General features: G+C 52.2%; 1 protein-coding gene across 4 annotated transcripts in view, besides 9 other annotated features; it reads left to right on the forward strand.

Annotated features, from left to right (window-relative positions):
• The window catches only part of LASP1 (LIM and SH3 protein 1), a 51,713-nt gene that overhangs the window by 17,940 nt on the left and 16,296 nt on the right, over positions 1-17,477 (forward strand). For 2 of the 4 annotated variants that reach the window (NM_006148.4, XM_047435965.1), the window contains exons 3-4: positions 2,423-2,507; positions 10,415-10,522. In NM_006148.4, the coding sequence (NP_006139.1) occupies positions 2,423-2,507; positions 10,415-10,522 (193 nt within the window). Of the gene's footprint in view, positions 1-2,422; positions 2,508-8,904; positions 9,075-10,414; positions 10,523-17,477 lie in introns of all 4 variants that reach the window. The other 2 variants (NR_073384.2, NM_001271608.2) reach the window with 2 other exon arrangements.
• Positions 4,903-5,476: an enhancer, noted in NCBI's record as "H3K4me1 hESC enhancer chr17:37049153-37049726 (GRCh37/hg19 assembly coordinates)". NCBI's record gives its function as "activates a minimal SCP1, AML or CMV promoter by ChIP-STARR-seq in primed H9 embryonic stem cells {active_cell/tissue: H9 hESC(primed)}" and the evidence as "EXISTENCE:reporter gene assay evidence [ECO:0000049][PMID:30033119]".
• Positions 7,563-8,084: an enhancer, noted in NCBI's record as "H3K4me1 hESC enhancer chr17:37051813-37052334 (GRCh37/hg19 assembly coordinates)". NCBI's record gives its function as "activates a minimal SCP1, AML or CMV promoter by ChIP-STARR-seq in primed H9 embryonic stem cells {active_cell/tissue: H9 hESC(primed)}" and the evidence as "EXISTENCE:reporter gene assay evidence [ECO:0000049][PMID:30033119]".
• Positions 8,085-8,606: an enhancer, noted in NCBI's record as "H3K27ac-H3K4me1 hESC enhancer chr17:37052335-37052856 (GRCh37/hg19 assembly coordinates)". NCBI's record gives its function as "activates a minimal SCP1, AML or CMV promoter by ChIP-STARR-seq in primed H9 embryonic stem cells {active_cell/tissue: H9 hESC(primed)}" and the evidence as "EXISTENCE:reporter gene assay evidence [ECO:0000049][PMID:30033119]".
• Positions 8,607-9,128: an enhancer, noted in NCBI's record as "H3K27ac-H3K4me1 hESC enhancer chr17:37052857-37053378 (GRCh37/hg19 assembly coordinates)". NCBI's record gives its function as "activates a minimal SCP1, AML or CMV promoter by ChIP-STARR-seq in naive H9 embryonic stem cells {active_cell/tissue: H9 hESC(naive)}" and the evidence as "EXISTENCE:reporter gene assay evidence [ECO:0000049][PMID:30033119]".
• Positions 10,357-10,466: an enhancer, noted in NCBI's record as "active region_12084". NCBI's record gives its function as "activates an Ori minimal core promoter by ATAC-STARR-seq in GM12878 lymphoblastoid cells {active_cell/tissue: GM12878}" and the evidence as "EXISTENCE:reporter gene assay evidence [ECO:0000049][PMID:35858748]".
• Positions 10,695-11,216: an enhancer, noted in NCBI's record as "H3K4me1 hESC enhancer chr17:37054945-37055466 (GRCh37/hg19 assembly coordinates)". NCBI's record gives its function as "activates a minimal SCP1, AML or CMV promoter by ChIP-STARR-seq in naive H9 embryonic stem cells {active_cell/tissue: H9 hESC(naive)}" and the evidence as "EXISTENCE:reporter gene assay evidence [ECO:0000049][PMID:30033119]".
• Positions 10,877-11,196: an enhancer, noted in NCBI's record as "active region_12085". NCBI's record gives its function as "activates an Ori minimal core promoter by ATAC-STARR-seq in GM12878 lymphoblastoid cells {active_cell/tissue: GM12878}" and the evidence as "EXISTENCE:reporter gene assay evidence [ECO:0000049][PMID:35858748]".
• Positions 11,217-11,736: an enhancer, noted in NCBI's record as "H3K4me1 hESC enhancer chr17:37055467-37055986 (GRCh37/hg19 assembly coordinates)". NCBI's record gives its function as "activates a minimal SCP1, AML or CMV promoter by ChIP-STARR-seq in naive H9 embryonic stem cells {active_cell/tissue: H9 hESC(naive)}" and the evidence as "EXISTENCE:reporter gene assay evidence [ECO:0000049][PMID:30033119]".
• Positions 13,367-13,992: an enhancer, noted in NCBI's record as "H3K27ac-H3K4me1 hESC enhancer chr17:37057617-37058242 (GRCh37/hg19 assembly coordinates)". NCBI's record gives its function as "activates a minimal SCP1, AML or CMV promoter by ChIP-STARR-seq in naive H9 embryonic stem cells {active_cell/tissue: H9 hESC(naive)}" and the evidence as "EXISTENCE:reporter gene assay evidence [ECO:0000049][PMID:30033119]".

Raw genomic sequence — 17,477 nt, forward strand, 5'->3', positions numbered from 1 at the left:
CTGTGAGTCAGGGATCTGCAGGGGTCATAGCTGTGGTGGGCTGTGGTCACCCAGGGCTAAAAATGGCCTGACGGGCTCCGGCTTGGAGAAGCCACCCACCAGTCCCTGAAGTAATTGGGGCCCATGCAGACCCCCAGACATTTCTCATAGCAGCACATACACACAAACCACATGGCTCAGAGCTGCCTGTCTCTCCTGCAGCTGGTTTGCTAGGGGACCTTGTGATGAGAGAGGGATGGAGAAGGGCTGAGTTCTAGTCCTGCACCAGCTTCAATTCCTGGCGTGACTTTTTTTTTTTTTTGAGATAGAGTCTTGCTCTCGCCCAGACTAGAGTACAGTGGCGGATCTTGGCTCACTGCAAGCTCCACCTCCCAGGTTCAAGTGATTCTCCTGCCTCAGCCTCCTGAGTAGCTGGGATTACAGCTATGCGCCACGGTGCCCGGCTAATTTTTGTATTTTTAATAGAAACAGGATTTCGCCATGTTAGCCAGGCTGGTCTCGAACTCCTGGCCTCAAGTGATCCACCTGCTTTGGCCTCCCAAAGTGTTGGGATTATAGGCGTGAGCCACCATGCCCAGCCTGACATTTGTTTATTCAACAAATATTTACTGAGCATCGCCTACTATTCTAGGAACTTGAGATAAATCAATGAACAAAAGAGACCCCAAAATCCCTCCCTTCATAGAGAAGTAGTGGAGAGAGAAGACAATACATTGATGTGATAAATAAGTTAATTATGAAGACTGCTAAGGGAGAAGTGCCTGGTGCCAGCACACCGTTTCCTCCTCTGAAATGAGGGAGTTGGACCAGAGTCTTCTGGAGGTCTCTGCAGGCTCTGAGGGTTGCCGTGGCTTCGGCTGCCTCCAAGCCAGGCCCTCTTCCTGGGGACCAGGCTGTGCTGGGCCTGGAAATTGGCGGCTAAGTTCAGCATGAACTGAAGAAATCGTCTGGGCGCAAATCTGGATCCCTGTGTGTCTTGGCCATGTTGTTTAACCTCTCTGGCCTCAGTTCTCCCATCTGTCAAAGGGGTACGCTGAATACCAGTCACACAGGTGGCTGTGAGAATTCGGTGAACTAGGGCACATAAGCCCTTAGCACAGGGAGAACATTCACTGTTTGTTTTTTTTTGTTTTGTTTTGTTTTTTCTTTTTGAGACGTAGTCTGGCTCTGTCACATAGGCTGGAGTGCAATGGCAGGATCTTGGCTCAGTGCAACCTCTGCCTCCTGAGTTCAAGCGATTCTCCTGCCTCAGCCTCCTGAGTAGCTGGGACTATAGGCGCACGCCATCACACCCGGCTAATTTTTGTATTTTTAGTGGAGACCGGGGTTTCAGCATATTGACCAGGCTAGTCTTGAACTCCTGACCTCGTGATCTGCCCGCCTCGGCCTCCCAAAGTGCTGGGATTACAGGCATGAGCCACTGCGCCCGGCCTAATTCACTGTTGTTACTATAGATTGAGCAGCCCTAATCCAAAAATCCAGAGTCTGAAGAGCTCCAAGATGCAAAGCTTTGAGTGCCGACGTGATGCCACAAGGGAAAATTCCACACCTGGCCTCATGTGATAGGTCATAGGTCAAAAAGCAGTCAATAATTTTGTTTCATGCATAAAATTATTTAAAATATTGTATAAAATTACCTTCAGGCCATGTGTATGAGGTATATAGGAAATGGTCCCATCCCCAAGATGTCTCAGTATGGATATTCAAATATTCTAAAATCTGAGAAAAAATCCAAAATCTGAAACACGTCTGGTCCTGAGCATTTCCAATAAGGGATACTCAACCTGTATTTTACCTGTCACCCTCAGGTGACCTCCTTTTTTGTCCTCAAGCTGGCCTTCCCACCTACCCTCCAGTTAGGTTGGACCTTGTTAACCGTTTGAAATACCACTTTAACCGTGTGTTTTCTCTCTCACCACTTCCTCCAGGAAGTCCCCCTGGATATGTGTGTCCCTTTGTTTTTCTGTCTCCCCCTTGCTCTCCTCTGCATGGTCGGTCTCCACTTCTGGTCTTAGCTGAAAGCTTAGTCCTGACTCACCTGTGCCCATCTTCCCCCAGCCGGGCCCAGTTGCCTCGACCTCCATGTGTGGTAGGCACAAGGCATGGATTATCCCCAAACAAGGGTAACCTTCAACCCTCAGAGAGTGGCCCAGTGGCCATCCTTTCGCTCAGGACAGTTCTCCTTGGCTGGCCCATCACTGATGCCTGCTGCGTCTTCCCAGGTCAGCCAGTCCCAGCTGAGTCTGAGAAACGCTTGTCTCCCCTCGGCCTTGGTGGTGGACACTGAAGTCCTCCTGTGGGGCCGGGCCAGGGCGTGCCCAAGCATAGGACGAAGTTCCCAGGAGGGCATGCTCTGTGAGAAGCCCAGAGGCTCCTGCCCCTCCCCCAGAGTCACCCCCACTCTGTTTTTTCTGTCCTGCAGACACTACCCCAAGCAGTCCTTCACCATGGTGGCGGACACCCCGGAAAACCTTCGCCTCAAGCAACAGAGTGAGCTCCAGAGTCAGGTGAGGGGCTGGGCGGTGCTGGGGCCTGGCAGGGAGGGATGCTGGGGAGGGAAGTTGTAAGGTCGGCATTTGGCAAGAGTACCTTCCCCTGCGGTTACTCTGCAAGGCCAAGGTGCTGAAATCCTAGCATTGCCTTTAATCTTGACCCCACCCCTGACTTTATCAAAGGAGCAGGGTAGAGCGTTCTCCCACTTCCTACCTAGAGGGGGTTGGAGAGGTGTGGGTGTCTATTTGAGCCCGCTCTGGGGCTCCCTAAAGCCTACCTCCTCCAGGAAGCCACTCTCCCCTCCCTCTTCCCCATTCACACTCACCCACAAAGGAGGGGTTTGGGGAGGACCAGGGAATTTGCCCCTCCAGGTCATGCCAGTCTGAGGCTGGGCAACCAACCCTCTATAGCCGCGTCCCAAACCTCCACCCACTGAAGGGCAAGGTGTGAAGGGGGCCCTGCCATGGGGGCACAGGATAGGGGGCTGTTCCGCCTCTGTCTCCTTTGGCTTGACTTTCCAGAACACTGCTGAGTGGGAGGTATGTGCCCCTGTAGGAGGGGAGGACGGGTTCCAGGCCTAGGGAGAACTTGGTCTTTAGGGGACACGGAGGAATAAGCAAAGGGTCTGGAGTCCTGAGAACAGAACAGCTGACCCACCCTGCCTGGGGGTGCGAGGGCTCCTGGGACAAACCTGGCCAGTGATGAGGTGGGGTGGGGTGGGGCGGGGCTTCAGCCGATGAAGGATTAGGCGCGAGAATACATGTAGGGGAATTTACCACGTGGGCAGCGCGCCCAGGACCCACTCAGGATCGGGAGAAGACTGCAGAGGTTCCACCCGGGCCACAGAGGGGATCTCTCCCAGTTCCTCCAGAGGGGACTCCTGCTGCCTGATCTTGATGTGACTGCCCGGGTCCATCAGGGAGAACCGACCCTGCCTTTTGTCAGGCTTTCCATGCACCCTCTCTCAGCATCCTCCCAGCAGCCCTGTGAGGAAGGTGCTATCTTCCCCATTGTTACAGATGAGGCGACTGAGGCCCAGCGACTTTGAGGGACTAGCTGAGGTCCTGCGGGTAGGAGAGGCAATAATAATATTCACAGCTGACGATGGAGGGCTCAGTGCTCCCGGCGTGTGAGCTCGTTTAATCCTCACCCAGCCCTGTGCAGCTGTAGCATCACTTCACTTCAGAGAAGAGGAAATAGACACTGGCAGCTTTGAATGTAGGTTTGTCTAACCCAGGGACTATCCACTCCCCAAGAAACAGTCTCTACCTTAATAATAAACATGATAGTTCCTTATGCTGTTGAGAAGTTTTGTAGTTTAGGGCTGGGAGCCATGGCTCACGCCTGTAATCCCTGTGCTCTGGGAGGCCAAGGTAAGAGGATCACTTGAGCCCAGGAGTTCGAGACCAGCTGGGGCAACATAGCAATACCTGGTCCCTAAAAAAAAAAACGAGCAGAGATGGTGGTGTGCACCTGTGGTCGTAGCTACTTGGGAGTTTGAGGCGGGAGTATCACTTGAGCTGAGGAGTTGGAGGCTGCAGTGAGCCATGATCGCACCACTACACTCCAGCCTGGGTGATGGGGTGAGACCCTGTCTCTAAAAAAAGGAAAAGCAAGAAATTGTGTAGTTCAGCAAGTGCCTTTAGTTAGTTCCCCTGTTTATCCTTGACTGGGTTCTGGGAGAAGGTAAAAGACCCAGCGTCTCTGTCTTACAGATAGGGGAACCGAGTGAGTGAATGCGGATCCAGGATTTGGGCCCTGGTCTTGTCACTCCCAAGTCTGGGGCCCTTGATGCTGCACAGCCCTGGTAGGGCCTGAGGCTCACAGAGGAAGAGAGCAGCAGCTCACACCTGCCACCCACCCACCTGCGGCACAGAAGCTGAAGTTACTAGGAAGCAGGGAACACCACAGCCTGCCTGGCCATATTTTACAGATTCTAGCCAGGCCCTGACTCCTGCCTTCAATTCCCTGCCCTGTGGAAGGGCCATGGGGGCCAGAGGTGGAGGGGCTCAGAAGGACCTCGGAGAAGAGGTGCTGGGAGCAGATAGCAGGTCTTTGGAGACACACACACACACACACACACACACACACACACACACACCCTTCTCAGGGGAGAAATTCAAACCCCTCAGCCTTTGTCAGTTCCACAAAAGCGTGGCTGCAGCTCTTTTTGCCCCGGCACCCTATCCCCGAGGGGTGGGGTTTGAGGAGGAAGCACCTCCACGTTGTTCCCCCTGCCCAGGATGGGCAGCAAGTGGGCAGGGCATGCTGTTGGCAGGGGCTGCTTCTGCCCCCCACAGGGGAAGCCAGCACCACGCTCTGGGTTTGGGGGCTCCTGTCCCTGGCCTGTGCCCCCTGCTTCCCAGGGTCATAGCCTGCTGGGTTCCCGGGGGGGCCTCTTGGGAGATGAAAATGGCGGTCACTCTTCATTAGGGCCTCACTGAGGGCCAGAGCGTGTCCGTGTGTGTATGTGTGTGTGTGTGCGTGTGCACGCATGCACGCGTGTATGTGTGTGTGTGTGTGTGCAAGCATGCACGCATGTATGCGTGTATGCCTGACTTTGTTTAATCCTTACAGCCACCTGATGAAAGAGGGGCTCTTATTATCCCCATCATACAGATAGGGAAACTGAGGTTTACAGAGGCTGCCCTGCTTGTGCAGAGCCCAGGGACAGGGGCAGACATCAAGTCCCATGACCTGGCCCTGGAGCCCGTTGCTCTGAACAGTGCTGATGGCACAGGCACCGAGCCCTGTGCTCCCACCCTGCAGGATGCACCAGTCAGCAGCAAGTAGGATGGGCTTGTTGGAATGCAGATTCCTAGGCCCCACCCAAGGGACTTCTGCTTGGCAGCTCTGGGTGAGGCCCAAGAATCTGCATTTTGACTCCCCCGTGATTCTGATAAGGACTTTTGGCCCCACTTTAAGAAGCTTAGAGATGGGTCCATGGGCAGGAGTGTACCGACCCTGTTTGTATGCTCTGAGGGGTGCCACATTAGGGTAGGGCTTTGCACTAAGGGCACGGCTCTGTTCCCCTGAGGTGGGGGTCCTCGGGGGTTGGGGGCTGAGGGCAGGATAGGCAGGGGAGGAAAGGGTACTGCCCTTTTTGCAGGCCTGTTCTGTCTCCCTTCCCACCGCCCACCAGCTGTGTGGTCTGAGACTGGCCTCAGACTGTCTTTCCTCTCATAGCTTTGCTTCCTCACCAGTAAAATGAGGACAGCAAACCCAGTTGCCTCAAGCTGGGGGCTGGGCCTGATGCTTTGAGGCTTGGAAGGGCTGAGCCGGCCAGGCTGGAGCAGTGACGGGTTCTGGTTCCTGTGGCTGCCGTGGGGGCAGAGCTGGAGAGAGCTGCCTGCGGCTAGCAGGAAGGGAAGGGGGAGCCTCTTCTGCTCACCCAGCTTCACCCCACGGGGTCAGCTGGCTTCTCTCCATGCCCCTTCTGGGCCTGCCTTGCCCTTCCCTGTCTCTGGGAAGCTGCCCAGGCTATTTCAGCTTTATTTATTTTCCCATCTCTATATTGGTCTCCAAAATGGCACTTTGGGTGTCTGGGACACCTGGAGCCTCCCCTGTGGAGGAGGTAACCACAGAACTGTCCAGAAATGACCCTCTCGGTGGTCCTGCCCAGGCCTGGCTGAGGCAGGGGGCTGGCAGCTGGACCCCCAGCCCCCCTTCTCACTTGCTGCTCCTATCCCACCCCCAGGCTGAGCAGAGGCAGTGGCTTTGGGGTGGGACTGAGCTGGAGGTGTCTGTATGGCCCTGAGCCCAGGCAGAAGTGCCAAGTGCCAGTAGACTGTTCTTCCATTTTTTCCTTCATCAACTCACCTTGATGGGGTCATGGGAAATTACAGGGGGGTTTCTATCCTCCTCGGATCTTGTAAGCAGCACGGGTGGTAGAGTATCACTCTTACCCGAACTAGCTGGCCTGAGATTGAATCTCGCATCTGCTGCCACCAGCTGTGTGACCTTGGGCAAGTTGCTTAACCTCTGTGCACAGTGCCTTCGTCTGAATAATGTGGATTACCTCTCTCCAGAGGGTGGTGTGAGATAGGAGGATATGTTAAGCATTTAAAGATTCCTGACGTGGAGTCAGCATTCAGTGTTTGCTACTACTGTTCTCCCGGAAAGGAGAGGAAATGGAACTTGGACATGAAGAAGCTGGGAAATACACACAGCAACCTTTTGACCATGACTTCCAGCCCCGGCCCTTTCCATCAGCTCTCCTCTCCATCTGTGTGTGTCTAATTTTTTTTTTAAATTTGTATTTTTTTGAGACAGGGTCTCTCTCTGTCTCCCAGGCTGGAATGCAGTGGCGTGATCTTGGCTCATTGCAGCCTTGACTTCCCAGACTCAAGCGATTTTCTCGCCTCCACCTCCTGAATAGCTGGGACTACAGGCGTGCATCACCATGCCCGGCTAATTTTTGTATTTTTAGTAGAGACAGGGTTTCGTCATGTTGCCCAGGCTTGTTTCAAACTCCTGACCTCAAGTGATCTGCCCACCTCAGCCTCCCAAAGTGCTGGGATTACAGGTGTCAGCCACCGCGCCCTGCCTAAATTTTAAAAACTAGTGTTTCTTTTTTGTTAGAAGGGGATGGGTTACAAAGTATGTTGGCCCAACACATGGTAGGCACATAATAGTGGAAATTGTATTTCGCTCAATAAATTTTGTATTTTTTTAGAGATTTTTATTAATTTTTTTTTTTTTTAAATAGAGATGGGGTACTATGTTCCCAGGCTGGTCTCGAACTCCTGGGCTCGAGTGATCCACCTGTCTTGGCCTCCTAGACTGCTGGGATTACAGACATGAGCCATTTTGTTTTTTAAGTCCAGCCTAATTTTTGTGTTTTTTTTTTAGACGGAGTTTTACTCTGTCGCCCAGCCTGGAGTACAGTGTCACCATCTCAGCTCACTGCAACCTCCGGCTCCCAGGTTCAAGGAATTCTCCTGCCTCAGCCTCCCAAGTAGCTGGGATTACGCCCACCACGCCCGGCTAACTTTTTTTGTATTTTTTTTAGTAGAGATGGGGTTTCAGCATGTTAGGCTGGTCATGAACTCCTGACCTCAGGTGATCCACCCACCTCTGCCTCCCAAAGTGGTGGGATTACAGGCGTGAGCCACCGTGCCTGGCATAATTTTTGTTTTTAAGTAATGATCCTTCTTCTTATATTGGGTCATCAAGGCAGTTGTTTTCCCAATTATGCTGCTTTGTTTGGAGATTACGTGTCTGCATTCAATTCATTCATGATCCAACAAATGTTGATCTGCACCTCCTGTCTGCTGGGATGAGAAGCAAGATAGATCCAGGGAGAACAACTAAGAACTGACAGAAAAATTAGAGTTTCACGGATGGTGGTTGTTTGGGTGTCAGGAGCCTCAGATGTCAGTCAGTCCTGGGCCTGACAGCAGAGTTTCCAAAATGGGAGCCCAGGTATCTCCCAGGAGTGGGGTCCTCTGGGAGCCCAGGCATCTCCCAGAAGTGGGGTCCTCTGACCGAAGCGCTGAGTTGCATCCTGGCCTGAGCGACAACTGGGTTGTGACCTTGGGCAGGTCCCTTCCTCCACAGGGACCCCCACAGCACCCTGGTGAGCCATCCTAGACAACAGGGGCAAGCACTCCTGCCAGGGCAAGAAGGGAGCCCTGAAGAGGGGCTCTGGGCTGGGCCCTCCCTACACCCCTGGCCCCCCACCCTTCACTTCTGCCACCCCTTCCATACCCAAAGACCTTTCAAAGAGCCTCCCTGTCTTGATTATCCATAGTCAGGGTCTGAAGGTGCTTTAAAATGGTCACAGACTCCAAATGGGAGGGATTTTAGAGATCAGCTAGCCAGCTCCCTTCAGGGGACCCAGAGAGGGGAACTGACTTGCTTAGAAACACACAGCAAGGTGGTGCTGATCCCAGGCTCCCTCCCTTCTCAGCCCCTACCCCTCACCCCTACCCTCTGTGGGCCTCCTATGTTAGCAGTGAAATGAATGATCCTTCCCCAACAGGGAGGGGGAGGCAGAAGCAGTTCCCGATCCTGGGAACCTGCTGATGTCATTGCAGCGTCGCCATGGCGATTATTCCCCTGGATTAGGGGCCTGACCCTTGCAAAGCCAGGAAGCAGGGGACGGAGTGGGGGACTGGCACTCGTTCAGCACTTCATTGCTGACAGAGCACTTTCACACTGGCCCTCCACAGTGCGCTGCTGCTTTAGAGCCACTGTCTGTATCGTGGGTTGGAGTGACTGGCGTTATGGTCCCCATTTTACAGATGTGGGAACTGAGTCTTGAGATGTGAAGTCGTTGGCCCAAGATCACTCAGAAGTGGGAGACTGAGCCTGCGTTAGTGCTAGCTCCGCCTGGCTTTGTGCCCAGACTTGGTGATAAGAAGCCCCCTCCCCATATTATACCTGATTTCTGTCACAACTCTTTTACAGATGAAGAAACCGAGGCCAGGGGCTTGAGATGCAGGGCTTCTGTATCTGGAGCTACATTTCTCTGCCTCTGAGTGCCCTACCTTCCCCGATGCCCGCTTCCCAAAGGGCCTCCCACTAAGAGTCACCGTGCTGGCCCAGGGCTTCCAGGACTGAGGAAGAGCTGGTGCTAGGCAGGTTCTGGACTCTTGGGGTGGGTTGGTGCCTCTATCCACTGCATTCACTTCTGAACTAATGGGGAACAGCACATCCAAGCCCTTCTTGTCTGGATCAGAACAGAGAAGGAGAGGGAACCACATGGATGAGTGACTGGGGGCTTCAGGAGACAAACAAGGACTCTGACCCCCACAGGCATGTGCAGAGGACCTGACAGGTGTGGCCGTGGCTGCATGCGCATGCGCAGTCGCTCCAGTCCAAGCACAGCTCGGTGCTGCTGCCAGATGATTCCCTGCCAGGGAACTGCCTGGGTTTGTGTCCTGGGCTGACCTGTGTCCAGGACAGTGCAGCCCCCGTGGAGGAAATCCAAGCAGCTGGTGGGGTCTGGAACAGATGGCTGATGAGGTGGACAGTGAAGTCTCTGGAAGCCAAGGAATAGTTTCCTGTTCCATGAGTTTTCTCAGCCTCATTCTGTTCTTCAAAACCCTCAGGGGAGGACAAGCTGTTCCTCATATTTCAATTCCTTTCGTGCCAGGGAAGTCCTTTCTGATGTCTGACTTGAGTCCCTCTAGTACTGTGGTGGGGTGGAAGGGTTCTTCCCTGGAGCTTGGAGACCTGCTGAGATGCTGTCTGACCCCCGCTGCTTTCCTCCCCTCCTATGGCGGTGGCCTCTGAAGCCATCCCGGCAGGCTCCCAGAATCCGCGGGGCCTGTCAAAGGCGCACTGATGGAGCCTTCCCTGGGGCTGTCTCACCACCCTCCTTTCTGGGCACCAACTCTGTCCTTTGGCACAGCCCTCACTCAGCTGGTTGCTGAAAAGCTCCCCCAGGCGTAGTGGGCAGGGCCACATCCTGGCTAACATGAGGGCTGGGGCCACCCTGGGAGCCCTGGAAAGAACCTTTTTCCTATAAGCTTCCAGACAGGATGGGCAGGGAGTGAAGGGTCAAGAGTCAGGCAGATGAGGGTTTGCACTCTGGTAGTGCCGGACATTGACTGCTAAGCTCTGTGACCTTGGGCAGGGGACTTTGCCTTTCTGTGGCTCCGTTTCCTGATCCGTAAATTGGAGCTGTTAATTGCGTGGCTATATGTATGGTGGGATCTAAATGAGATGGTTCATGTAAGGCCCTGGACTCTGTGCCTGCCATTCACTGTGCACCAAAGACTTGGTAGTGGCTTATTATTACGAGTCTAACACCTTTTGGCTGAGGCCTCTGCTTTGAGTTGGGGACTTCTGATCAGGGTCTTTCTGCTGACTCCCTGTCCCTGTCTCCTGACTGGTTGCTGCCTCAGAGGGGCCCCAAGCCGAGGCCCTTTCGGCTCCTGGCCTGACTCCAATCCCTCTTCCTCCCCTCCTGCAGGTGCGCTACAAGGAGGAGTTTGAGAAGAACAAGGGCAAAGGTTTCAGCGTAGTGGCAGACACGCCCGAGCTCCAGAGAATCAAGAAGACCCAGGACCAGATCAGTAACGTGAGCTCTTGCCCTGCCCTGCGGCATCCCTGCTGCCCTCTGTTTGGTCCCCTTCCTGCCAGCCTGGCAGACGCAAGCCTGGCAGATGTGAATGAGGCCAGTGCCTCCACTACCCCTGCCCTCCAGGGTGGGCCTGGGGAAGAGCTTGGGGTTCCCAGATGCCTCTTCTCTGTGTACCCCCAGACCACCAGCACGCATAGCATTTTCTTCTTGAAGGGACTGTATTCTGTGGGGGCCTGTGTGCTAAATCAGCCCCCACTCTCTCTGACTGTTGTTCTTTTTTCTGGATATCGTGGGTATCGGTGAAGACTGCATGTCTCATCTTAGCACAAAGGTCAAAACTGGGGGGCGGGGAGCACCTGGCCTCCCCTGGTCTGCGCCTGGGTGCTGACATTGCAGTCATTTCCGCCCTTCCTTGGCCTCCTCCCCCACATCAGCCTGCTCTTCCTTCCTGTGTAAAAACCCCAGCCAGCTTCACCCGCCAGCCCTGCACCCCCTGGCTCACACCCCCCGCCTCCCTGATGGTCAGTGGCATCTGGCTGTGGCAGGGGTGGGCATGGAGAGTGGGCAGGGGATCAACTGTCCCCAGCATCGTGTGCCCTCCATGGCACCTGTGGCCAGAGAACAGGCCTCAGTTTCCTGCTTGGCAGAGCCACAGGCAAGCAGCCTGTGTGGCTTTAGGCATGCGGGGGCAGGGCACTGCGGTGAGCAGCAACCATGGGGGATGCGCACACAGAACTGCAGGGGCTGCCCAGCCAGCCTGGCCTAGGAGGTCCTGCCAGGGAGGGTTTAGGCAGGCAGCTGTCTTCGTGTCTGGAACAGGAAGGGATCAGTGAGCTGCCCATTGTTGCTCTGGGCTGAGGAACTGGGGATAGAGATTGCCGGGGGAGCCTGGCTTTCCGGTGGTCTCAGCACCCACTCCCTGGGCTCCACATCCCTTCCTACCCTCCACCTGGCCACCTCAGCAGGGCGCTCCTTTAAGAGCTTGGCTGGGCCGTGCATAGAGTGGGCTGCAGTGGTGGGTCAGGTGGATTTCAGAAGCACAGGCAGCCCACAGACAGCAGAACCAGCCATGCCCAAAATGGTGGCTTTCAAACTCTGACTTCAGCCTACAGTAAAATATACATTGTACGTCTTGACCCATCTGACAGGCATACATTTATGTAGAGGGAAAACAGAATGGAAGCTTTCATGAATGAGTACTTCCTACTTAGAGGGCGTTCAGATCTTTTTTTTTTTTTTTGAGACAGAGTCTCACTCTGTTGCTCAGGCTGGAGTGCAGTGGTGCTCCGCCTCCAGGGTTCAAGTGATTCTCCTGCCTTAGCCTCCCAAGTGGAGTAGCTGGGATTACAGGTGCACACCACCACCCCCGGCCAATTTTTGTATTTTTGGTAGAGACAGGGTTTCACCATGTTGGCCAGGCTGGTCTTGAACACCTGACCTCAGGTGATGTGCCCGCCTTGGCCTCCCAAAGTGCTAAGATTACAGGTGTGAGCCACCGCACCCGGCCACATTCAGATCTTTTCTAAAGATGCTGGTTGCAGGCCCCTATACACCCTCACATAATACAGCCCCTTTGAGGACTGTATTCCCAACACTTTGGGAGACTGAGGTGGGAGGATTGCTTGAGCCCAGGAGTTTGAGACTAGCCTGGGCAACATAGCAAAACTGTTTCTACAAAAAAAAAAAAAAAAAAAAAAAAATACAAAAACTAGCCAGGCATGATAGCACACGCCTGTGGTCCTAGCTATTCAGGAGGCTGAAGTGGGAGGATCACCTGAGCCCAGAGGTTTGAGGTTATAGTGAGCCGTAATTGCACCACTGCATTCCAGCCTGGGAAACCGAGTGAGACCCTGTTTCCAAAAAAAAAAAGGACCAGGCGCGGTGGCTCATGCCTGTAATCCCAGCACTTTGAGAGGCTGAGGTGGGCGGATCATGAGGTCAAGAGATCGAGACCATCCTGGCCAACATGGTGAAACCCCATCTCTACTAAAAATACAAAAATTAGCTGGGCGTGGTGGCGTGTGCCTGTAATCCCAGCTACTTGGGAGGCTGAGACAGAAGAACCGCTTGAACTCGGGAGGCAGAGGTTGCAGTGAGTCGAGATCGGGCCACTGCACTCCAGCCTGGCGACAGAGCAAGACTCCATCTCAAAAAAAAACCAAAAAGATGCTGGTTGCAGACTTACTGTGAATGGGTTTTGCAACTGGACTGTTGACCTGCAGTTTGAAGTTGGTGGCCTGAGGAAATGGCATGCTTCCCTTTGGCTAGCAGGGGATGCCTAGGGCGGGCACTCTAATCCTCCTTCCCCTCCAACTTCCAGAGGCCTGTCACAGTTGACTCTTTATATGCTAGGGCCTGGCCTCACGCCCTGGAGCTTCCCTTTGGCTCAGACCCTGCAAAGGGTAAGACCCTTAGGTCTGTGTTTCAGAGCTCTCGGCTTGGAAAGTGGGGGAGGGGGAAGATGGTCTTAGATTATGGGGAAAACCCGGAATGGTTCACAGAACTGGAATGTCGGCTCTTCAGCCTCTGCGGCTTTTCATGTAGAGGCTCTAGTCTTTTATCAGTGACACTTGCTCCCAATGTGCAACCCCAGCTCCCTGGCTGTTCACTCATTGCTTCACCCTGTGGGTTTTGGAGGAGGGGAGACAAGCCCAGTCATCCCTGCTTCCCTTTCTGGAAGGCTTCCAGAACACTCCACACTCAGCCTAAGCCACCTCCTCTTCTTCCCTCCCCCAGTTAGAGGTGTTAATATCCTAGTGACAAAACTCACCACCCTGGCCAAGCCATCCGCATCTCAGGAGATAACCATCTTTTACCCTTCTCGCGGTGCTGCAGTGAGCTAATGGTCCTCTGCAGGAGCTGGGGGAAGGGATCGACCCCGACCTGCTAGCTGCTTTTGCAGCTTTAGCAGAGACCTGTAGGGTGTGAATGCAAAGCCTGGAGACTCTTGGTTTTAATGAAAGCAATTACAGTCTGTCGGATATGGGCCTCCAGACAGCTGTAGCACAGTCACCTGTAGGGTTGACTGAAAATGCAGACTCACAGGCCTTCTCCCCTGGCTGCCAGAATCAGCGTCTCTGGGAGTGGGGCCCAGGAATCAGCATGTTAGACACATTCCCTGGGTTTCTGTGGTGCTCTCTGAAGTTTGAGAGCCACCACCTAAAAGTCTGAAAAAGCTTCACCAACCCCTAAGTCAGAGGGTGCCAGATCAGGCTGTACCTCAGAACCCCAGGGGAGCTTTATTTTTATTTTTATTTTTTTGAGACGGAGCCTTGGTTTATCACCCAGGCTGGAGTGCAGTGGCGCAATCTCGGCTCACTGCAACCTCCGCCTCCCGGGTTCACGCCATTCTGCTGCCTCAGCCTCGTGAGTAGCTGGGACTACAGGCGCCCGCCACCACGCCCGGCTAATAGTTTTTGTATTTTTAGTAGAGATGGGGTTTCGCCGTGTTAGCCAGGATGATCTTGATCTCCTGACCTTGTGATCCACCCGCCTCGGCCTCCCAAAGTGCTGGGATTACAGGCGTGAGACACCGAGCCCAGCCTATTTTTATTTTTGAGACAGGGTTTCGCTCCGTCATCCGGGCTGGAGTGCGGTGGTGTGTTCACGGCTCAGTGCAGCCTGAATCTTCTGGGATCAAGCCATTCTCCCACCTCAGACTCCGAGTAGCTGGGACCACAGGTGTGCACCACCATGCCCAGCTAATTTTTCTTTTTTTTGCAGAGACACTATCTTGCTATGTTGCCCAGGCTGGTCTCAAACTCCTGGATTCAAGTTATCCTCCCGCCTCAGCCTCCTAAAGTGCTGGGATTATAGGGGTGAGCCACCTCACCTGGCCTCCCAGGGGAGCTTTTTTTTTTTTTTTTTTTTTTTAATCAGAGACAGGGTCTCACTATGTTGTCTTAAACTCCTGGACTTAAGTGATCCGCCCACCTCGGCCTCCCAAAGTTCTGGGACTACTACAGGCATGAGCCACTGCGCCTGGGAGCTTTAAACCACACATAAAACCATTGCTAAGTTGTCCCAACCTCCTGAAGTGTTTTGGAAAATAGGGTGTTTAGAGCCACACCTTTTGTTTTGTATCCAAAATAGCATTCCTGTTCCTGTATGTAGCTTGTTGCTTTGCTTCCCAGATTAGCACCAAATGACTCCAGTTACTTTATTTATTTATTTTTAATTTTAGTTTTATTTTATTTTTGAGATAGAGTCTCGCTCTGTCGCCCAGGCTGGAGTGCAGTGGCGTGATCTTGGCTCACTGCAACCTCTGCCTCCCGGGTTGAAGCGATTCTTCTGCCTCAGCCTTCTGAGTAGCTAGGACTATAGGCACATGCCACCACGCCTGGCTAATTTTTGTATTTTTAGTAGACACAGGGTTTTGCCATATTGGCTCGGCTGGTCTCGAACTCCTGACCTCAGGTGATCCACCTGCCTTGGCCTCCCAAGGTGCTGGGATTACAGGTGTGAGCCACTGTGCCCAGCTGACTCCAGTTATTTCTAAAGGTCAGGCCATCTTACAAAAGAATGAGGATATGCTTCCTTGGAGGGATATGCTGCAGACTAGGGCTTTTTACCAGCCAGAGCATTTTAAAAACAAGTGTCTGATCTCCTCTGGGGTGTCTGCTTTGGATAAGTGCAGTCTGTCTTCAGTCTTGCTAAGTGGTGAGACAGTGAGGTAGGAAGAGATGGTAAGGGCCCAGATCCTAGCTTCTGTCATTCTGGGGCCAGGCAGGGCTCTTTGAGCCTCAGTTTCCTCATTTGTAAAAATGGGACAGTAGGCCCTACTTTGACAGGTGGTTGCAAGGAACATGCCAAGTGCTTGGCATGGGATAAATGATATCACTCTTATTATCATCATTATTATTTTTGAGACAAGATTGCCCAGGCTGGAGTACAGTGGCACGATCATAGGTCACTGCAGCCTCGAACTCTTGGGCACAAGTGGTCCTCTCCCGTCAACCTCCTGAGTAGCTGGTACTACAGGCATATAGCACCATGCCCAGCTAATTGTTATTTTTTTTGTAGAGAGAGGGTCTTGCTATGCTGCCCAGGCTGGAGTGTAGTCACGTGATCACAGCTCACTGCAGCCTTGAACTCCTGGGTTTAAGTGAACCCTGGCCTAAGACTCCCAGGTTGCTGGGATTACAGGCACACGCCATCACACCCAGTTATGTTGTCAATGTTATCAATACTTTAAAGGCACACTTGTCTGCTTTCTACACTGTTGCCGGAGAAGGGTCATAAAGTGAAGTTTGGCAGAAAAGTTTGGCCATTGTCTAGTACTGAGAATGTGTGGAAGTGAGGAAAGGGGCCAGTATATTACACATCTATGGTGAGTAGTTGTGTCATCATTAAAGGCATTTGAAGAGTTGCCTTTTGATGGGTCCATGCTATGGGATAAAGGTTACATGTTAGGAATCCTGGCCTTTTGTCATGAGCTCTAGCAGTGTTCAAGTATGGAAAACTTTAGTCACTTTACTGGAGCCTCTTCTTTTATTTACTTACATATTGATTTTCTGTATACAATTTTGTGTCCTTAAAACTTTTTTTATGTGTGAAATATGACACATAGTAACATATACAATAAACACCTGTTTCACCAGGCAGGTATACCATACATTGTATTACTGTATGCCTGTCAAGAGCCCAGTGTTCACAGTGTTAAAAATATAACTCCCATGTAGTAAGTACTTATCATATCTTTATTTAATTATGAGGGAACCAGCTAGAGATTAAAACTGGGGAATATGAGAGGCAGAGGTAAATGCTAGTCTGTGAAAGAAAGTGCTGGGGCCGGGCGAGGTGGCTCATATCTGTAACCCCAGCACTTTGGGAGGCCGAAGCGGGCAGATCACCTGAGGTCTGGAGTTCAAGACCAGCCTGGCCAGCATGGTGAAACCCTGTCTCTACTAAAAATACAAAAATTAGCCAGGTGTGGTGGTGCACACCTGTAGTCCCAGTTACTTGGGAAGCTGAGGCAGGACAATTGCTTGAACCCGGGAAGTGGAGGTTGCAGTGAGCTGAGACTACACCACTGCACTCCAGCCTGGGCAACAGAGCAAGACTCCGTCTCAAAAATAAAAAAAAAAAAAGGAAAAAAGAGAGTACTGGATACATTTAGCTACAGAAATGGTTAAGGGCCTACCATTAGTTACACATTGGCTATTGTCCTACAGGAAAATAAAACCATAAACTTTGAAGATATCTTTGCTGCAGGCAGAAATGCTTTGCATCTCAGTTGGCCAGAAATAATGAGCATTTTATACTCTGTAATGAGCTTCAGTCTTTAGAGTCTGGGCCTAATCAATAGTAAATAGTCAAACAAAGTTTTGTCCCCAGAGTAAAATACTCTGAAGGCAGGTTTGTTGGACAATCCTCTAGTTTGATTTTGAAAGCATGTATTTTTCATTATAATTTTAGTATGTAATTATGTATTCTTAAACACTATAGTTTTGCTTTTCCTGATTTTGAACACAGAGTAATTTTGTGTATCTTGCTTCTCTTACACACCATTGGGTTTAAAGATTCATCCATATGTTTGTGTGTAGCGGTAGTACATCCTTTTTCATTGCTATATAGTATTCCATTGTTTGTTTATACCACATTTTATTGATTCTGTTGCTGGTGGACATTTGTACTGTTTCCAGTTGCTATGGACATTTTTGTACATATCTCCTGAGGTCTATGTACATTGGAACTGCTGCATCTTAGAATGTGTGCTCCTTGGGCCGGGCCGTGGTGGTTCACACCTGTAATCCCAGCACTTTGGGAGACCGAAGTGGGTGGATCATGAGGTCAAGAGATCAAGACCATCCTGGCTAACACAGTGAAACCCCGTCTCAACTAAAAATACAAAAAATTAGCCGGGTGTGGTGGCGCACTCGGTGGCGCAATCCCAGCTGCTCTGGAGGCTGAGGCAGGAGAATCACTGAACCTGGGAGGCAGAGGATGCAGT

This window comes from Homo sapiens, chromosome 17, assembly GCF_000001405.40.
Source record: "Homo sapiens chromosome 17, GRCh38.p14 Primary Assembly".
NCBI classification, from domain to species: Eukaryota; Metazoa; Chordata; class Mammalia; order Primates; family Hominidae; genus Homo; species Homo sapiens.